This window comes from Homo sapiens, chromosome 5 (assembly GCF_000001405.40).
Source record: "Homo sapiens chromosome 5, GRCh38.p14 Primary Assembly".
Classification (NCBI taxonomy): domain Eukaryota; kingdom Metazoa; phylum Chordata; class Mammalia; order Primates; family Hominidae; genus Homo; species Homo sapiens.
In genome coordinates, this window is record NC_000005.10 from 173706991 (window position 1) to 173723465 (window position 16475).

Sequence of the window (16475 nt, forward strand, 5' to 3'; positions counted from 1 at the left end):
AGGGGAGGAGGCCCTTTTGCAATAGGAAAGAATGAAAACAGCACAAAGAGAGACGTGGAGGAGGAAGACGGAGAAGGAGGGGCGCTTTCGCCTCCCTGGACCCAGTGGGCCCTGAGATCTGCTTCTAACCTGTCTTTTCTCTATTGATTTTTGTCAGCTAATAAGTCTTTCTTTCTACATATATTCATTGAAGTTCCATTTGTTTTCCTTGCCAGTAAAAGAATGCTGACAACCTCAGGATTGGGCAAGGAGCTAGTCCTTTTCCCCTCTTGAGAGATGGGGTAGCAGAGTAGTAGGAGCAGAGCGGCCAGGCTGTCTGGATTTGAAGTTGTACGTGTTGGTCTGGGCAAAATTTTCAACTTCCTGCGCCTCAGTTTCTTATCTGTAAAGTGGGGTTAATAATAGTGCCCACCTCGTGCAGTCAGGGATGAGGATTAAGTGAGTTATATGTGTAAGGTGCTTTGCACACTGCCTGGTGTGCAGTCAGCTCAGCATCTGTGAGCTGATTTCCATCTCCCTTGGGTCTTGTGGCCTGTGAACACAGCCTTACTTGGCGCAAGTGCTGAAGGAAATGGAACGCACCCTGAGTGAGACAGCAGTACTCTCTTGTGACCCAGTTAGTAGCCAGCTGGCAGATTTCTGGTATTGCTCACTGCTGAGGGGCCGCTGGGTGCCTGATGAGTCCTGGGAAATGCCTGGGGCAGGGTGGCTGGCCTGGGCCTGTCTGCCCTGGGTTGCCCCTCCCAGAGCTCTCAGCATGGCAGCACTAAGGCCAGCTGGACCCTACTTGGGAGGATAGAGAAGTGGAAAGAACCCTGGGCCTGCAACCCAGCAGTTGTACACCGTGGTTTCCTAGAGGAACTCATGCACATGTGTCCTGGAGACCTGCAAGAGGACAGCACCATGGAGATGACCAGCAACTAATACCACCCAAAGGTCCACCAACAGGAGAATGGATACCCCAGCAGGGGTGCATGCATGCAACGGAACACACCACGTACTGGTGAGAGTGAATCAATGTCGGTCACACGCATCAACGCCGATGAGGCTGAGACTCGTAATATCAAATTTAGAATTGCAAGTAGCAGAAGGATCAAAGTTATATTTGTAATAAAGCTTAAACACAAGCAAATCGAGCACTGTATTGTTTAGGCACACATTCACATTTGGTAAAGACATAAAGCAAAGCAAGGGAACGAGACAAAAATGAAATCCCAGAGTAATCAGGTGGTCAGGTCTTGGGGGGTGGCGTGGAGTTGGGGAAGGGCATCAGAGTGGATCTCACCTCAGCTCCGACTGCTTTGGGAAGTTCTAGTTCTGACATGGAGTGGTGGGTTCACAGCTGTTTGATTGCTTGTTATGCTTTATAACAATATAAACTGCATATGTTCAGTTGAAATATTTCATAATAAAGGTTTTTTAAAAAAGAACATTGGGCTCATCTTTCCCATCAGATACAGGCATTTTTGTTTTGAATTTCTATTTCCTTTTTTTAATGAGCAAGGATCGTTTGCCTCTGAAAATATAAATTAAAAAAAAAAATAAGGCTGGGCACAGTGGCTCACGCCTGTCATCCTAGTACTTTGGGAGGCCGAGGTGGGTGGATCACTTGAAGTCAGGAGTTCGAGACCAGCCTGGGCAACATGGTGAAACCCCATCTCTACCAAAAATATAAAAAATTAGCCAGGCGTGGAGGCGTGCGTCTGTAATCCCAGCTACTTGGGAGGCTGAGGCAGGAGAATCGCTTGAACCCGGGGGGCAGAGGTTGCACGAGCCGACATTGTGTCACTGCACTCCAGCCTGGGTGACAGAGCGAGACTCCATCTCAAAAATAAATAAATTATTTAAATATTTTTTTAGAAAAAGCACTGGATTTGCAGTTGGGAGCACAAGACTTGGGGTTGCCCCTTCCCACAACCACTGTCATTGCTGGGACCTCTGCAGCCATCTCCTCCCGGCCTCCATCCTCACCCACTCCATTTCAGTCTCTGTTTGGCCCCCAGCTGAGTTATCTTTGTAACCATAAATGGCATTCGCTCATTTTACTGCTTCCTGAAGTCCAAGCCTGTTCTTTTCAACCATGTTTCTCCCTGTTCCTCTTCACCATTTGTATGTAGCCAGATGTAGAGTTCATGGAACCAAAAACCTGCCTTCTGCTTCTGTGTCTTTGCTCAAGCTGTACCTGGGAAAATAAGTCATCAGGTCTGAGCACCAGCGTCTGGGTCTCAGTGCTCAGCATGCAAAAGAGACTGGGTTTAGGCTCTGTCACTCACCATGAATTCTACACGGAATGACTTTTCTGTCCCTAAGTGATCCTTCCAGGCTCATTTCAGGCAACACCTCTTCCAGGAAGCCTTCCCTGATATCCAGCCTTTATTCTCACAGCTCCTCTGGTAATCCCTATCAAAGTACCCTGAGATTTCCACAGTACTTTGGAATTTTCTGTGTATGTGCCTCCTCCACTAGACTACCTACTCCCCAAAGGCAAAAACTGGGTCTTATTTTGTTTGTCTCAATAGCAACTGTACCAGCCGTGGCATGGTGGCACTCAAATGGTAACGCCCTGAGGGAAAGGTTTTGCCTGTTTTGCTCATCTATGTATTCTAAGTGCCTAGAACACTGCCTGGCATATGGTAGCTGTGCTGCAAATGGTTATCGAGTGAATGAATAAATGTTAACCTGTACTGAGTACTGAGTAAAGTTCTATTGCTTGGAAGCTGTGTGAGCTTTGGTGAGACACTTAACGTCTCTGAGCCTCCCTTTCTCCCTCTGTCAATGGGGAGATTAATAGTACTATTCTTGAAGGATCACCATGAGATTTGGCAGAAAGATGCATGTGACAGAGCCTAGAAAATGGCAGGTGCACAGCCCGCGCTGCTTCATATGGATTTAACCCTGGCCCCAGTGGCCTCAGGCAAATTCCCAGTGGCTCTGAGGTTGTCCATCTGAGCTCAGAGTCCCCGCTCAGCCTCCCTGGGTGGTCCATGGGAAAAGGGGGTCGCAGGTCTGTGCTCCTCCTCCTTAGCCACGGGCCAGTGACCCCTAGGGTCACCTCTGACTGCTGGGTCCGTGGATCTATTGTGCAGGGCCTGTTGGTGGCTGGGCAGCCTCACTGAGTCTCCAGAGCCCAGCTGGTCAGTGCAGCCAAGGTCATGGTCCTCATTCCTTGAATGGCTCTTTCTTTAAATTGACGCAAACTCTTCTTCAGCAGCCACAGGTAGCTCCTAACGCAGCCAGCTGTCTGAGCACTCTCTTAGGTCCCTTTGGGTCCTAAAATGCTAGAGAGGGGGCAGGATAGATGGAGGAGGTGTCACACAGACCTAGCTCCAGCGCTGCCTTCCCCAGCTTCTGGCTGTCTGACCTGACCTGGCTGTCTGACCTGTCTGCAAGTGACTTCACATCTCAGAGCCTCAGTCTCCAAGTCTGTTTTTTTCTGTTTTTTTGTTTTTGTGTGTTTGTTTGTTTTTTGAGACAGAGTCTTGCTCTGTCACCAAGGCTGGAGTGCAGTGGCACGATCTTGGCTCACTACAACCTCTGCCTCCTGGGTTCAAGCAATTCTCCTGCCTCAACCTCCCGAGTAGCTGGGATTAAAGGAACGTGCCACCAGTCCCAGCTAATTTTGGTATTTTTAGAGGAGACGGTTTTGTCATGTTGGCCAGGATGGTCTCAAACTCCTGATCTCATGTGATCCACCCGCCTCATCCTCCCAAAGTGCTGGGATTACAGGCGTGAGTCACCGTGCCCGGCCCAGTCTCCACATCTTGTAAGTGGGGAGATAAAACCTATCTAAGGGGGATATTATGAGGAGCAGAGAGAAGGCATGTCATTCTCCTAATTAATTGGCATTCACTAAAGAGTTATGTGATTATTAAATACATAATAAAATATAAAAATATAAGGTGCTCTAGTTATATAATCATGAGGTCTGAGGATGGTGATGACTGCACTTCAGTGGACTACCTTATGAGGGACTGACTGTCAAGAAGCTCTGTGCATGTGTGCTTGTGTGTGTGCATCTGTGTATTATATATATACATATACGGTATATAAATAGGCACTTTTATTATATAAGAAAATGATGTCACAGTAAAAATGCATAAATATTATTGAGCATGTTTGTATAAACGAGTGAACAAAGAGACATTTGGGATGCAAGACCAGTGGTATAATCTGCCCAAACACAAGCCCCGTTTTACTGTTGCTAATGCACAAAGAGAGGGCTGGCAGACATGGCCTGCATGCTCTGTACACCTGCCCATCTGCACCACACTCCCCCATGGTCTTGCTGTTGTTGCTGTGTTGGGCTCATCCCACCTCTCACACCAGGACCATAAAGGCTTTCTCAGTACTGCTGATTTCTCCCTCACAGCACTTGTCAGAGTTGACACATTGTGTTTATTTATAATTGTCAGTTTACGTGTCTCCTCTACCGGACTGATGGTCAGCCGCACTGAGGTCAGAGGTCCCATCTGATTTTACTCTCCATTTTCTCCCCAACACCCATTAGGGTGTGTGGTGCAGTGTAGATGCTTGATAAAATAATTGAACAAATCGATGGATGGTTGGATGGTCAGAGGGATGAATAGACGAGTGGTTGGATGAATAGATGGTGGTTGGATGGATAAATGGTGGAATGGATGGGTGGACAGATGGATGGAAGATGGGTGAATGGATGGAAGAGGGATGGATGAATAATTGAATGGATGGGTGGATGGGTGAGTAGACAGATGGATAGAAGATGGATAGATGGATGGATGGATGGATGGATGATGGTCAGATGGATGGATGGTTGGGTGGATGAAAGGATGGATGGGTGGTTGGATGAATATCATAGACTTTCCCTTAAGGAGCTTACCATCCATTTGGAGTCACAAGATCAAGACCCAGAAAATAGTCAGTGGTAACTCACGTCATTTTGCGGTCAAGGGTCCTGTGCCCCGTGACAGAAGGACCTATTCCTGTGAAAGGAATAGAAAGGGCCTTGTGGTTGACAAGGGTGGAGAGAGGCCCATGGTCATCTTCTTGAAGAATGGTCCTTGCTTCTATGAAGCAGGAAACATATTTCAAAAAACCCAAGGACAGCCTTTTATGAACAACCTCTCTATGTCTTTGCTGAAATTCAGTACTGCATCACTCAATTCCTCAAGCTTGTATTAGGCTGTCGTCATGCCAGATCCTGGGCCATGTTCTGAGGACACAGAGATGAGCCAGAGGGTCTCTGCCTGAGGCCTCAGAGTCTGGGGGAGACAGATCTGTAAACTGTGCAACCAGGCAGGCCACAGCAGAGGTGTGAGCAGAGGAGAAACAAAACAATCTAAACGCTTTGGTGGAGACAAGCAGTCAGACAAAGGGTGGGGAGGAGGTGGTGTTTAAACTGATTCCTGAAGGATCAGTGGGAGTAGCCCCCTCCCCAACTCCATCCTGATGAGAGAAGTTTTTCTGATAGAGAAAAAAAATGAGGGCAAGGAGAAAAACCGGGTGAGAGCTTCCTGGCTTTCGAGACTGAGTGCCAGTGCTGGTGGGGAGAAATGAGCAATGAGGCTGGGAAGTTAGGTGAGCCCTGCCTGGTTGGCCAAGGGCCTGGGCTTCCCTCTGAAGGTAATAGGGAGCTCTTGATGGGATTCACGCAGATGGGAGACCTGATCAAGCTTGAGGCAGGGTGGAAGAGGGACAGGAGAGGGCGAGTTGGAAGCAGGGAGGCTGGATGGGAGGCCATGGCAAGTTTGCAAGTTGGCACAGGTCTAAACAGAGGCAGTAGAATAGAAAGTCAAAGAGGAGAGGCCCCAAACATCTTAGGCAGGACATGCTTGTTTATTCATCTCTGAAAGTGAAAGGGAGGCAAGTACAGATTTAGTATGCCACTGTCCAGAGCGAATCGTAAGGGTACAGGGTTGGTGACTGACATTCCTGCTCCAAGAAACTCAAGAAACCTGACCTGTCCCCATCCCCCGCTCCCTGTAAATGTCTGTTTTTGGTTCCTCTTGCCCACCGGATGCAGAAAGGAGGGCCAGCCATGCAGAGCTGCAGCGAGGCAGAGCATAGGGCCAGGTTTCCACGATGTGGAGAGAAGGAGTGGCCCTGCGAGCAGGCGAGGGGGGTAGGGTGGGGAAAGGAAAAGGCATGGAAAACTGCAGACCATAACCCTTGGCAAGATCCAAAAGAAGAGGAATAGTGGAGGATGCAGAGAAAGGGACCACTACAGCCGTGGGCAGGAGTTTCTATTTCCAAATGGATGTGGGGAGGAAGATTTCAGAGGGAACATATTTGCCAGGAGAATTTTGAGAGAAATGACTCAGGGTTCCACAACAATAGCTAATAGGGCAGCAATGGATTGGAGAATGTATATATCTTTATGTTCTAAAACATTTTTTTAAGGAGACACTCTAAGGCCAGAATCGCAAGTGCATGTCTTTGTGGACAGAGCAGGTCACACAAATGAGGAAAGTGGACCACATATTCAAAACACAATAGCTCAAGCATGATAGCCAGCTGCAGGTGACACCAGGCTATAGTGTCCAGGAGACAATAGAGAGGGATAGGGACTGTGGCAAACTGGAGAGCACAGATCCACAAGGGCACAGCAGCAGGTCAGCTCCCACTACTGCCACCCTGTAGGAATACAGGGCTGGGTGGCCATGTTTTCTGATTTTTCAAAAAAATTCAGAAATTTTGATTTTTTCAGGAAACCTCCTGATATGTAAATAGTAGCAGCTAGTTCAGATTTTACCCTGTGTAATAAAACAAAACCATCCAGCCTGTGGGACTGCAGTGGGTCCCTCTGCTCCCCAGCAACCTTGCAATCAACTGAAAACCCACGTCACACAGGTCCTGCTGCCTTCACTCATGTCTGCGGCTTTTCCCCAGGGGGTCTGGAGAGAGAACAGGGCTGGGAGTCATTTGTGGCGTTAACTCCTGGTAGAGTTCCACCTCTAATGTGGGTCCTTGAGCAAACCCTGTAATGTTTCCAGGCCTCCGTTCCTCCACCTATATAATGGCGGCAAGATCTTGGCTCTTCCAGCCAAAAGTCTCTTCTTTTACAATTTTCCCAGATCACTACCACCTTCTGTTGATTGAGGTCCTCCTATCTGCCAGACCCTGTGTTACTCACTCTAAGTCCCTTGCCCAGGATCGCACAGCTATTGATGTTGCAGAGGCTGGATTCCAACTCACACCTGTCTGACTTCAAAGGCCTTTGACTTAGGTACTATATTGACTCCAGTGAAAGCAACTTATTAAATAATTCAGGTAATGCTCCAGGAAAGGGGAGTGTTTTCTATTGCTCTTCATGTACCACCCAAATTCTAAGAGATCCAAACAGTTAATTTTTGCAGCTGATGGGCCAGTATAGATTTTTTAGAGTTCCCTTCGACCTTATAAAAGGCAGAGGAGTAGAGGACTTAGCAAAAGGCCAGAGGAATCAACAACATGAGATGCACCAGGGGTCTCACCCAAGGCTTCAGACAGGCCTGGACTGGCCGACTAGGTGTCAGTCAGCAGAAGAGCAGAGGAAAGAACTCACCCCAGGAGAAAAGTGAGGTGCACGAGCATGTCAAGAACAGGGCCTCTGTTGGAGGGCAGGGGTGGCTGTTCATACAGCTCAGTGGCTGTTCCTTCCTTAAGTGCGGGGACTGGAGCAGAAAGCAGAAGGCCATTTGCATTAAAGTGTGCCACTCTGAGCACCCAGGCCTGTGTCCCCACAGACTGCCGTTCCTTCAGTTATTTCAAATGTCGCCTCTTTCTACTCAGCTGTTGAAGTCAAAAATCTGGCGTCATTCTTGACCTCTTCTTTTACCTCAAGTCTCAAATTCAGTCCATTGCCAAATTCTGTGACTCACCCCAAAATGTCTCACAGCTGTGTCATCTTCCCTCCTCTGCACTGTCCCGGCCGTGGCTGCTCTGCTGGTCTCCTCCTTCACCTTGCCCCTTTCCAGTATCTTTGTGACACAGCAGCTAGAGAAGTTTTTATACAATGCAGATCTGGCCCTGTCTCTCCTCTGCTTAAAAACCCTTTGGTGACTCCCTAGGGCACCATTAATAACGTTGCAAGCTTCCCTCCATGACCTACAAATCCTTCTGCTATCCCTCACACACTGTGCTCCCGCCACCCCTGCCCTCTTTTCAGTTCCTCAAATATGTCAAGTTCTTTCTGGCTTTGGAGTCCTACCAATGTGGATCTGAATCCCGGGTAACCTTGAGTAAGTGCTGTCACCTCTTTGAGCCCCATTCTGCTCATCTCTGAAATGGGTATAATTGTATAACTTATTTCAAGGCATCATCAGTATTGACTTTCTTGCTTTAAACTTACAATCCCATGGAAAATCCCACGGAACACTCTTTTGCTTTAAACCTACAATCCTATGGAAAACGGTGGAGAGAGAAGGATTAATGTCATCCACTGACAATTTCACCTTCATCACCTACTTAACAACGACAAAGTAAAAGACATTCATCCATTTTGGCTTCTGTTTAAATGAGTCATACAATGAAATATCAACCATTTTCACTTAAAAAATTACAGTCTACAACACTTTTTAAAAAATTTTGTGTCAATTACTCCCTTGTTTCTCTGTATACTTTTATGACCTATTTATGGATTTCTAAACAAAGTCTAGCTATTTTGTCTGGTTTTGGACTTTGTGCAAATGGAATCATACTCTCTGTGCTCTGTGACTTGCTTCCTATATTCACGTGAGGATCTGGGATTCACCCAAGCCCGTGCCTGCAGCAGCCACTTATTCATTGCCACTGCTTGCATCGTACTGCCCCGGAGGAAGGTAGCCCAGTTTTCTCACACATTCTACTCTCTGTAGACATTTGGGCTGTTCCTGGTTTTGCTATCTTGAATGATCTTGCTGTGCGCAGGCTGTGTGGGTCTCCTGGCACTGGAATGCTACAGTTCCTGGAGGGGACACACCTAGGAGTGCAGTGGTAGATCCCAGTGTGTGCGCATGTTCAGCTTGACTAGGAATCACCAACTGTTGCCAAAGGGCTCGCTCCACAAGGATTCTCCCACCAGCAGTGTCTGTTCTACCACATCCAACTGGGAAGAAAGGTGGAATGAGACGAATACGGAAAGATTACTTTTCATATATGTGTGTGGATAAGTGCATAAGTCTATGTAATTATCATATGTTTTATGCATTGTTATGAGTGTACGTGACTTCGTTAATTTCTGCAGAGGTTTAAACCATGTTTGCTCAAACCTCTGGGGTACCCCACTGTGGCTTTCATTCGCACGAATGACCAAGGTCTTGCTCAGCACCTTCAGTTCCTGCCTGGAGCCCACCAGGACCTCTGCTGAACCTCTGCTCAGACCCTCCAGGATATAGCCTGGGCTGACCGCAGTCTTGAACAAGTCCAGGAATGATGAAACCTGTTTTTCTAAGACAAATCCCCTAGAATGACATTCAAAGTCCTTCCTATGCTGAAATAACACCAGCTCCTGCACCGAAATAACACCAGCTCCTGCACCAAAATAACACAAGCTCCTGCACGGACCTCCTGGTTGCTCAGCGTTTCAGGCACGTTCTGCCTCTGCACATTCACCCTCAGAGGCCCTCTGGAGGGTCACCCTTCCCTGGATTTTCCTTCCCCAGGCTCCTCCATCCCTCAGTCTGTTCAGGTCTGTGCCCAAGATCTTCTCTGACCACCCTGTCCAGAAGACAGGCCACCACTCCTGGCTGTACCTCACCCTGCTCTGTTTTTCTTGTAAACATGACCTCCCAATGCCTTATACATGGATGTGTTCCTCTGTTCTCTGTGTTTCCACCAGAAGGTGAGTGCTTTGGGGTAGGGATGCATCTTTTCACCTGTTGGGTTAACTGTGCTCAGAGCTGTGCCCACCACATAGCAGATTCTCAAGATAGAATTGCTGAACCTATTTACGAGTGAAGGAGTCCACACCATGCTTTAAAACCTCGCTGTGAGAGATGGGTTCAGGAATGAGTTCTTTCCTTTTCATTTAAAAACAGTCCTTGGCCAGGCGCGGTTGCTCACACCTGTGATCCTAGCACTTTGGGAGGCTGAGGCTGGTGGATCACCTGAGATCAGGAGTTCGAGACCAGCCTGGCCAATATGGTGAAACTCTGTCTCTATGAAAAATACAGAAAATAAGCCGGATGTGGTGGTGTGTGCCTGTAATCCCAGCTACTCAGGAGGCTGAGGCATGAGAATCTCTTGAACCCGGGAGGCGGAGGTTGCAGTGAGCCTAGATTGCACCACTGCACTCTAGCCTGGGTGACAGCAAGACTCTCTTTCAAAGAAAAAAAAATAACAACTCCTTATTAAATTCCTCTGCAGAAATTAGTGAAGTAGCTTGCACTCATAACAATGCATAAAACATATGATAATCACATAGGTCTATGCATTTATACACACACATATATGAAAAGTAATCTCTCCATATTCATCTCATTCTACCTTTCTTTCCAGCAACTAATATTAGTTGTCCTCATATTCAGACACATACAAAAAATAGGGCTTCTTAGTTGATTTTTACCAAAAAAGTGGGATCCTACAGTATTCTGTATCTTGTTTTTCTCATTTAACAATTATGTGCTGGACATTAATCCAGATAACTGCATATGTAGAAAACTTTTTTTAACAGGTGCAAAATATTCTGTTGTGTGGGTGACCCACAATTTATTCAATTATTCCCCAGCTGACAGACAAGCAAAGGTGGCTTTTAGATTTTTGCCACTATGAACAGTACTGCAGTAACACCTTGTACTTACAAATCGTATAAATGATTGTTGTTCTATAGGACAGATTCCCACGTAAGGGATCCCTTTGTCAAAAGATACATGCATTTTGTATTTTAATAGATGAGGCTAGGTTATTTCAACATGTCACGTATTCTGCCCTTTTGCTGTCCTGAGCTTTCTTTGCTCCTGATTTCCCCAGCCCCCTTCCCCCGCAGCCCCACCCAAGATTGCCCAGAAGTGGGGTCCATCCTAACTTCCCAGGAGGCCCAGTTTCCAGGTGCAGAATTGCGCCTGGCCAGACTACCCACCCATGGGAAGCCATTTCAGTTCCATTCCCACAGTAACGTGCGCGGGTGCCTCAACTCTCTTCCCTCCAGCTGCTCACAAGGCCAGGCCTGGCCCTGCAAGGTGGCTTCAGCAGCAAAGGTGGCGAAAGCGGGAGGGAGGAGGAAAGAGGCAGGAAATGACTACGGGAGCCACCCAGAGCTTATCCTCATTCCAGCTTCCGGTTCCCTTTTTGTTCTGAGCATCTCATAGCCAGTGTATTAGCAATGATGATGCCAACAGCAATAATAAAAGTCAACATGCATAGCAGTGACCCTCAGCGGGGCAGCTCTTGTGCCACGCCCCCCTCCCCAGGGGACACTTGGCAATGTCTGGAGACACTTTTGATTGTCACAACTCGGAAGGGGGTGCTAATGACATCTAGCAGGTAATGGCCAGGGAAGCTGCTAATTTCCCACAACGAAAAATTATCCAGCTCAAAATGTCCATAGTGCCGTGTTTCTCACAAATGCCTGGTTTATAGGGTGCTTCCGGCACGACGGGAGCTGTGCTAAGTGGTCAGCACATGCAGGACTAATTTAACCTTCACACTCTTCTTTGAGCTAGGTGTTATTATTACACCCACTTTACAGGTGAGGATACTGAGACTCGGAGAGGTGAAGTGACTTGCTCACGGTCCACAGCTGTGGAGGGCAGAGGCGGCACCTGACCTCAGGTCTGCTTGACTTCACTACACCGAATGGTCTTTGTAGGCCAGCTGGCTCTGTGCTGTAGCAGCAGACAGGGCATCTGATACAAACCTCATGACAAAGAGTTGGTGGGTGGGAACGGCCTGGATGTGATCTTGGTCGTGCCTACCTACCTCTGACACAGTAGGGAGGTCTCTCTGTGACTCCTCAGCTTCTGAGCTTCTTGTGAGGTGGGGCAGAGGGGAGCTGACATAGCAGGTGAGGCATCCTCTGTGGCTGGGAAGCTGGCAGCCGAGGAAACGCGCGGTGCAGCCGTTCCTATTGTCTGATGTGACGTTCCCAAGCCGAAGCTGGGCTGTTCTTTATGACACCTGGGAGTGTACATTTGTGTTCTCTGCCTGTGCATGCTCGTGTGTGTGAGTTTGCCTGTGTGCACTTACCCATATGTGCCATGGTGGGTCTATAGATATATGCGTAAGTGTGCTCTGTGTCTTTGTGTGTAGGTTTGCCTTTGTTCATGTGGTGTCTCGTTCTCTATTTGCCTATGTGTTTGACTATACAGGCAAATTTGTCTGCATGCATATCTCTATCTGATTATATTAGAGCTGGGTGTCCAGGTGTGTGTGTGTGTGTGTAGGTGATGGGGAGCTGTGGCTGTTGTATCTATGTGTGTATGAAGTGAGTCTGGGTGTGTGTGTGTGTGCACATATGAAGGTGTAATAGTGTGCTTTTATGTACATATATTTTGGACGGACTGTACATGTGTGTCTATATATGTATTTGTGTGTGAATAGTGTGTACTTAAATACCTGTGACTGTGTAAACTGTGTGGCTTTGTGTACATGTATATAGAGGTGGCTGGGTGCAGTGATTGCTCTGTGTGTGTGTGTGTGTGTGTGTGTGTGTGTGTGTGATAGAGAGAGAGAGAGAGAGAGAGAGAGAGACAGAGAGAGAGACTCCAGGCTCTTACCAACACAGAAGCTGGAAAAACACTGCTCTCCATGTGTTCTTTCAGCCTCCAAGAATGTCAGCCTCTCCTTAGGTCAGAAAAGATGAGCACAGGGCGAGGAGCTTGACCCAGGCCCTCACTCCCCACCCTCACCGCCCCAGCCTGCCCCCACAGTGCCAGCTGTCAGGGACAGAGGGCCTCAGGCCTCACCCCCCTGCCAGCCAGTCACTAAGGCTAAACATTTACTGAGGCCTGAGGCCATGTTTGTTTAAACCTCCGGGGTCACTGCACACATGCGATCTGTTTTGGATGGCTTCTGTTCTGCAGGCTGAGGGGAGCAGGTGCCGGCTTGGCAAGGTACCCGGGGTTGCAGCTTCCCTCCGTGAGATGCGCTGCTGAAATCAAGGTTTGCTTCATCTCACAAGAAGTTTAACCTTGGCAATGCGTTCGCTGACCTACTCTTTCAGAGTAATGTGTCCTAAACTCTAGTGTCTTTGTCAACCACTGTGTATCTTCTGTAACTCTCCTCTGTAACTCTCTTCTGCAACTCTCCTTACGCTTTTCTTTAAATTGATCTGCTTCTAGAAACGTAAGTACCTATTTTAGCTTTATTCAAAGCAATTTTATCTTGTGTGATCAAGGGTTAGATATGCTAATTATAAGTTTATATATATTTTTATATCCTTAAAACATATGAAAATAAAAAGCATTGAGCCCTCTGTTCCCTCACATCGCCTTGCTGGCCCTGTGTCGGGAATGAAAATGCCTCCGAGGCTGCCTCTTGCCTTCTGTTTTAAAGGTAGCAATCTATTTCAGGAGATCTTATTTTCTTACAACTTGCCCAGGAAGACACCTTTTGCATAAAAACAGGCAGGTCTGCTGTACCCGGGAGAGAGCTTTCCAAATCCCCAGATGGAGAATGTGTGTTTCCTGGATCTGGCAGGAGGCTGGGGGAGCCTCAGGGTGCAGTGCTGGAGGCTGCACAGGAGTTTCTCCAGACCTCTGTGCCTCCCTTCCTCCTTGGTCAGGATCCTCCCCTGGGGACCTGGCTCTGTAGTGTCACTGCCTTGGTAATCCCGAGCGAAGACTCAGGCACAGAGCTTCCTTCCTTTGTGGGGCGGGGGGAGAATAAGAGGGGAGGGGAGAGAAAGGAAGAAGAGAGCAGAACAGAGGGGAGGGGAGGGGAGGGGAGGCAGATGCCCAGACAGATGGGCCTGGCCATGGGCTCTGCAGGCCTAATGAATTTCCTTCCTCCACCCTCAGGCAGGTCAGTAAATGAGACCAGCGACAGCATCTGGGATGACTCCAGGATGAGGCTAATAAATCAGGCCTAGAATGAATCCTGCTTCCCTGGAGATGGAGGAGGTAGGCCAGGCAGCAGGGAAGCTGGAAGGGCCCAGAGAAGCTCCAGCAGCAGCCAGCCCTTCGATGGTACTGGAAGGAGCTCCCTTCCGACAACAGTCGGTGGCTTCCAGAGGCACTGACTGTGCAGGGTTGAGTCCCAGAGTGGATAGGTGGGTGGGGTGAGTTTTCCCGATGGCCTGGCTTGCTGACCTCTGGGCCTCGGCCAGGGACACCCTCCCCAACTGTCGCTTAATTTATTCCTACAAATCTGCTAGTCTCAGTTCAGGCATCACCTCCTCCTTGGGGAAAGAAGCCTTCCTGGACCCTTGGGGGCCATACCCATGCACCCCTAATGTTTCCCGAACTTCTGCCATCAGCCCACTCACCACATCAGGCTGTGTTTGCACCTCCCCTGGAATGCAAGCTTATGGAGACAGAGATGAGCTGCAGCCCTAGTGGCCAGTGATGTGCCTGGCATCTAGTAGGTGATATTGATATTCATTGATATTGATACTCATTGATATTATTAATAAGTTGAATGAAAGACAGGAGAGAGAAGAGAAGGTAGCAAGCATTGATAATTCTCTGGGGAAGCAAACCAAACTTGTCCCTGGACAGAGGGGGCTGGAAGAAGTCTATGCCATTCTGGCAACCCAGGGCCCTGGGGACACTCAGTTGCTCAAGGGTGGCCCCACCCCTCCCGAGGATGGGACCTCAGGCCAGGTATTCACCTTCCTGAGGCTCAGGAAGGCTCCTTGCCAAAAGGAACCTTTGGGAAAGCCTGGGTTGTAGGAATGAAATGAGGTAAGCTATTTGGAAATGCTTTGGCAAGCATCAAGTCCTTTACTCCCGTGAAGCGTGAAATCACACCATCCCCCGGCTGGATGAAACATGAAAGAATATAGCGTCGAACTGAATTTTGCCGATGAGCAACCGAGTCCAGATAAGGGTAGTGAACTTCCCTGTTCTCATACGCTGGTGAGGTAGACCATGGCCCTGATAGCCCAGGTTCTGGAGCTAACCTGCCTGCGTCAGAACCTGGTGGTGACTTGGGAGCTGTGTGCCTGTGGGTATGTCATTTACCCTCTCTGAGCCTCTGCTCTCTGTAAGACTAGGCTCTGAACTGCACCTACCTCAGGGTGCTGTACAGAGTATGAAACAAGATATTCCTAAAACCACTTGTTTCTTGATTGCCTGCTATGAACCAGGCATTGTAGTATTGGAAATTAAGCAGGGAACATATCAGAGAAAAAAAAAAGCCCTGCTTTTAGGAAGCAGTATATTCTAGAGGGAAGGAATGAACAATGGAAACAACCTTTTTAAGGTAACAGCATCGGTGTTTTAGGGCTGATAAGTGCTGGGAGGGAAAGGCAAGCTGAGGGCGAGGGGACATTCATGTGATTCTGTGTGGGTAACGTGGGGGGTTTGCAAGCTCGTGTTGGGATGCTGGGGAAGTCCTCCCCAAGAAGGTCTTTTGACTAAAGCCCCTGAGCACAGGGCTGGCCAGGAGGGAGCACTCAGCAAAAGGTACTCTCAGAGTAACTAAGAAACAGAACCACCTCTGTCCACCACGGAAGTACCTTTCAGTTCCCGCCAGGGTATCCTCCGCTACCCAGCCCACTGCCCATTGGCTAACTTCCTCCTGCCCTCCTGACTGCACAGTCTGGGCTACCAGTCCTTCCCAAGGAAAGTCAACTTCTGTCCCACATCAGAATCATGTGCAGGTGTGTGTGTGTATGTGTGCACACACGCACACGAGCACATGTGCGTGGGCATGCGTGAGTGCGTGGCTGTGACACTTGCATTTATGGATAATCCTGTATCCATGTGCTCAATGAAGGAGAGTATGGTGCATATGAGTGGAAGTATGAGGTCTAAATTCAAGGGTATGAATATAATTGTTGAACATATTAATTTGTGTCTATAAAGAGGAGTGTGCCTGTGAGGGGGTGGGGTTTGCCTGCATGCGTGTGCATGTGCACAGGAGGCTGTGTGTGCTGGTGCATGCGTGTGCCAGGCATCTTGGAGAGAGGTGTGAGCAGCCTGGCTGGGAGGGGCTTCTCTGCGGGCGGATTTCAGATAACAGGAGGATTCTGGGCTCAGCCAGGAATTCTGGGTTTCGCCATGCTAGGCCCAGCTGGGGGAGGCTTGGACTAGGAAGGGGTTGCGGGTAGAGCCTTCAGAGGACATTGTGGGGCCAAAGTGAGGCTGGCATCTAGGTGGTCCACATTTCCATGGAGAAATACCCTAGTACAGCAGGCTGTGGCACCAAAGAGTGTGTCCACAGGGACAAAGAAAATTTACTATGTTTGCAATTAATAATAGCACCTACGGGCCAGGCGTGGTGGCTCACACCTGTAATCCTAGCACTTTGGGAAGCCAAGGCAGGCAGGAGATCGAGACCATCCTGGCTAACACGGTGAAACCTTGTCTCTACTAAAAATACAAAAAATCAGCCAGGTGTGGTGGCGGGCGCCTGTAGTCCCAGCTACTTGGGAGGCTGAG

The 16475-nt window shown here is 48.5% G+C and overlaps 2 long non-coding RNA genes across 2 annotated transcripts in view, besides 3 other annotated features; both read right to left on the reverse strand.

The window, feature by feature from the left end:
- Positions 235–735: an enhancer, noted in NCBI's record as "H3K4me1 hESC enhancer chr5:173134228-173134728 (GRCh37/hg19 assembly coordinates)". NCBI's record gives its function as "activates a minimal SCP1, AML or CMV promoter by ChIP-STARR-seq in primed H9 embryonic stem cells {active_cell/tissue: H9 hESC(primed)}" and the evidence as "EXISTENCE:reporter gene assay evidence [ECO:0000049][PMID:30033119]".
- Positions 609–16475, reverse strand: part of LINC01484 (long intergenic non-protein coding RNA 1484) — a 38611-nt gene continuing 22744 nt past the window's right edge. Inside the window, exons 2-3 of the long non-coding RNA NR_108027.1 lie at positions 4856–4958; positions 609–885 (exon numbers count right to left, since the gene is read on the reverse strand). This is a non-coding gene — a long non-coding RNA (long intergenic non-protein coding RNA 1484). The remainder of the gene's footprint in view (positions 886–4855; positions 4959–16475) is intronic.
- LOC107984118 (uncharacterized) lies at positions 1083–7973 on the reverse strand. The gene is made up of 2 exons (XR_007059059.1): positions 7836–7973; positions 1083–3278 (listed from the first exon to the last, which is right to left on the reverse strand). It is a non-coding gene; the product is annotated as an uncharacterized LOC107984118 (long non-coding RNA).
- Positions 13595–14095: an enhancer, noted in NCBI's record as "H3K4me1 hESC enhancer chr5:173147588-173148088 (GRCh37/hg19 assembly coordinates)". NCBI's record gives its function as "activates a minimal SCP1, AML or CMV promoter by ChIP-STARR-seq in naive and primed H9 embryonic stem cells {active_cell/tissue: H9 hESC(naive and primed)}" and the evidence as "EXISTENCE:reporter gene assay evidence [ECO:0000049][PMID:30033119]".
- Positions 14096–14596: an enhancer, noted in NCBI's record as "H3K4me1 hESC enhancer chr5:173148089-173148589 (GRCh37/hg19 assembly coordinates)". NCBI's record gives its function as "activates a minimal SCP1, AML or CMV promoter by ChIP-STARR-seq in naive H9 embryonic stem cells {active_cell/tissue: H9 hESC(naive)}" and the evidence as "EXISTENCE:reporter gene assay evidence [ECO:0000049][PMID:30033119]".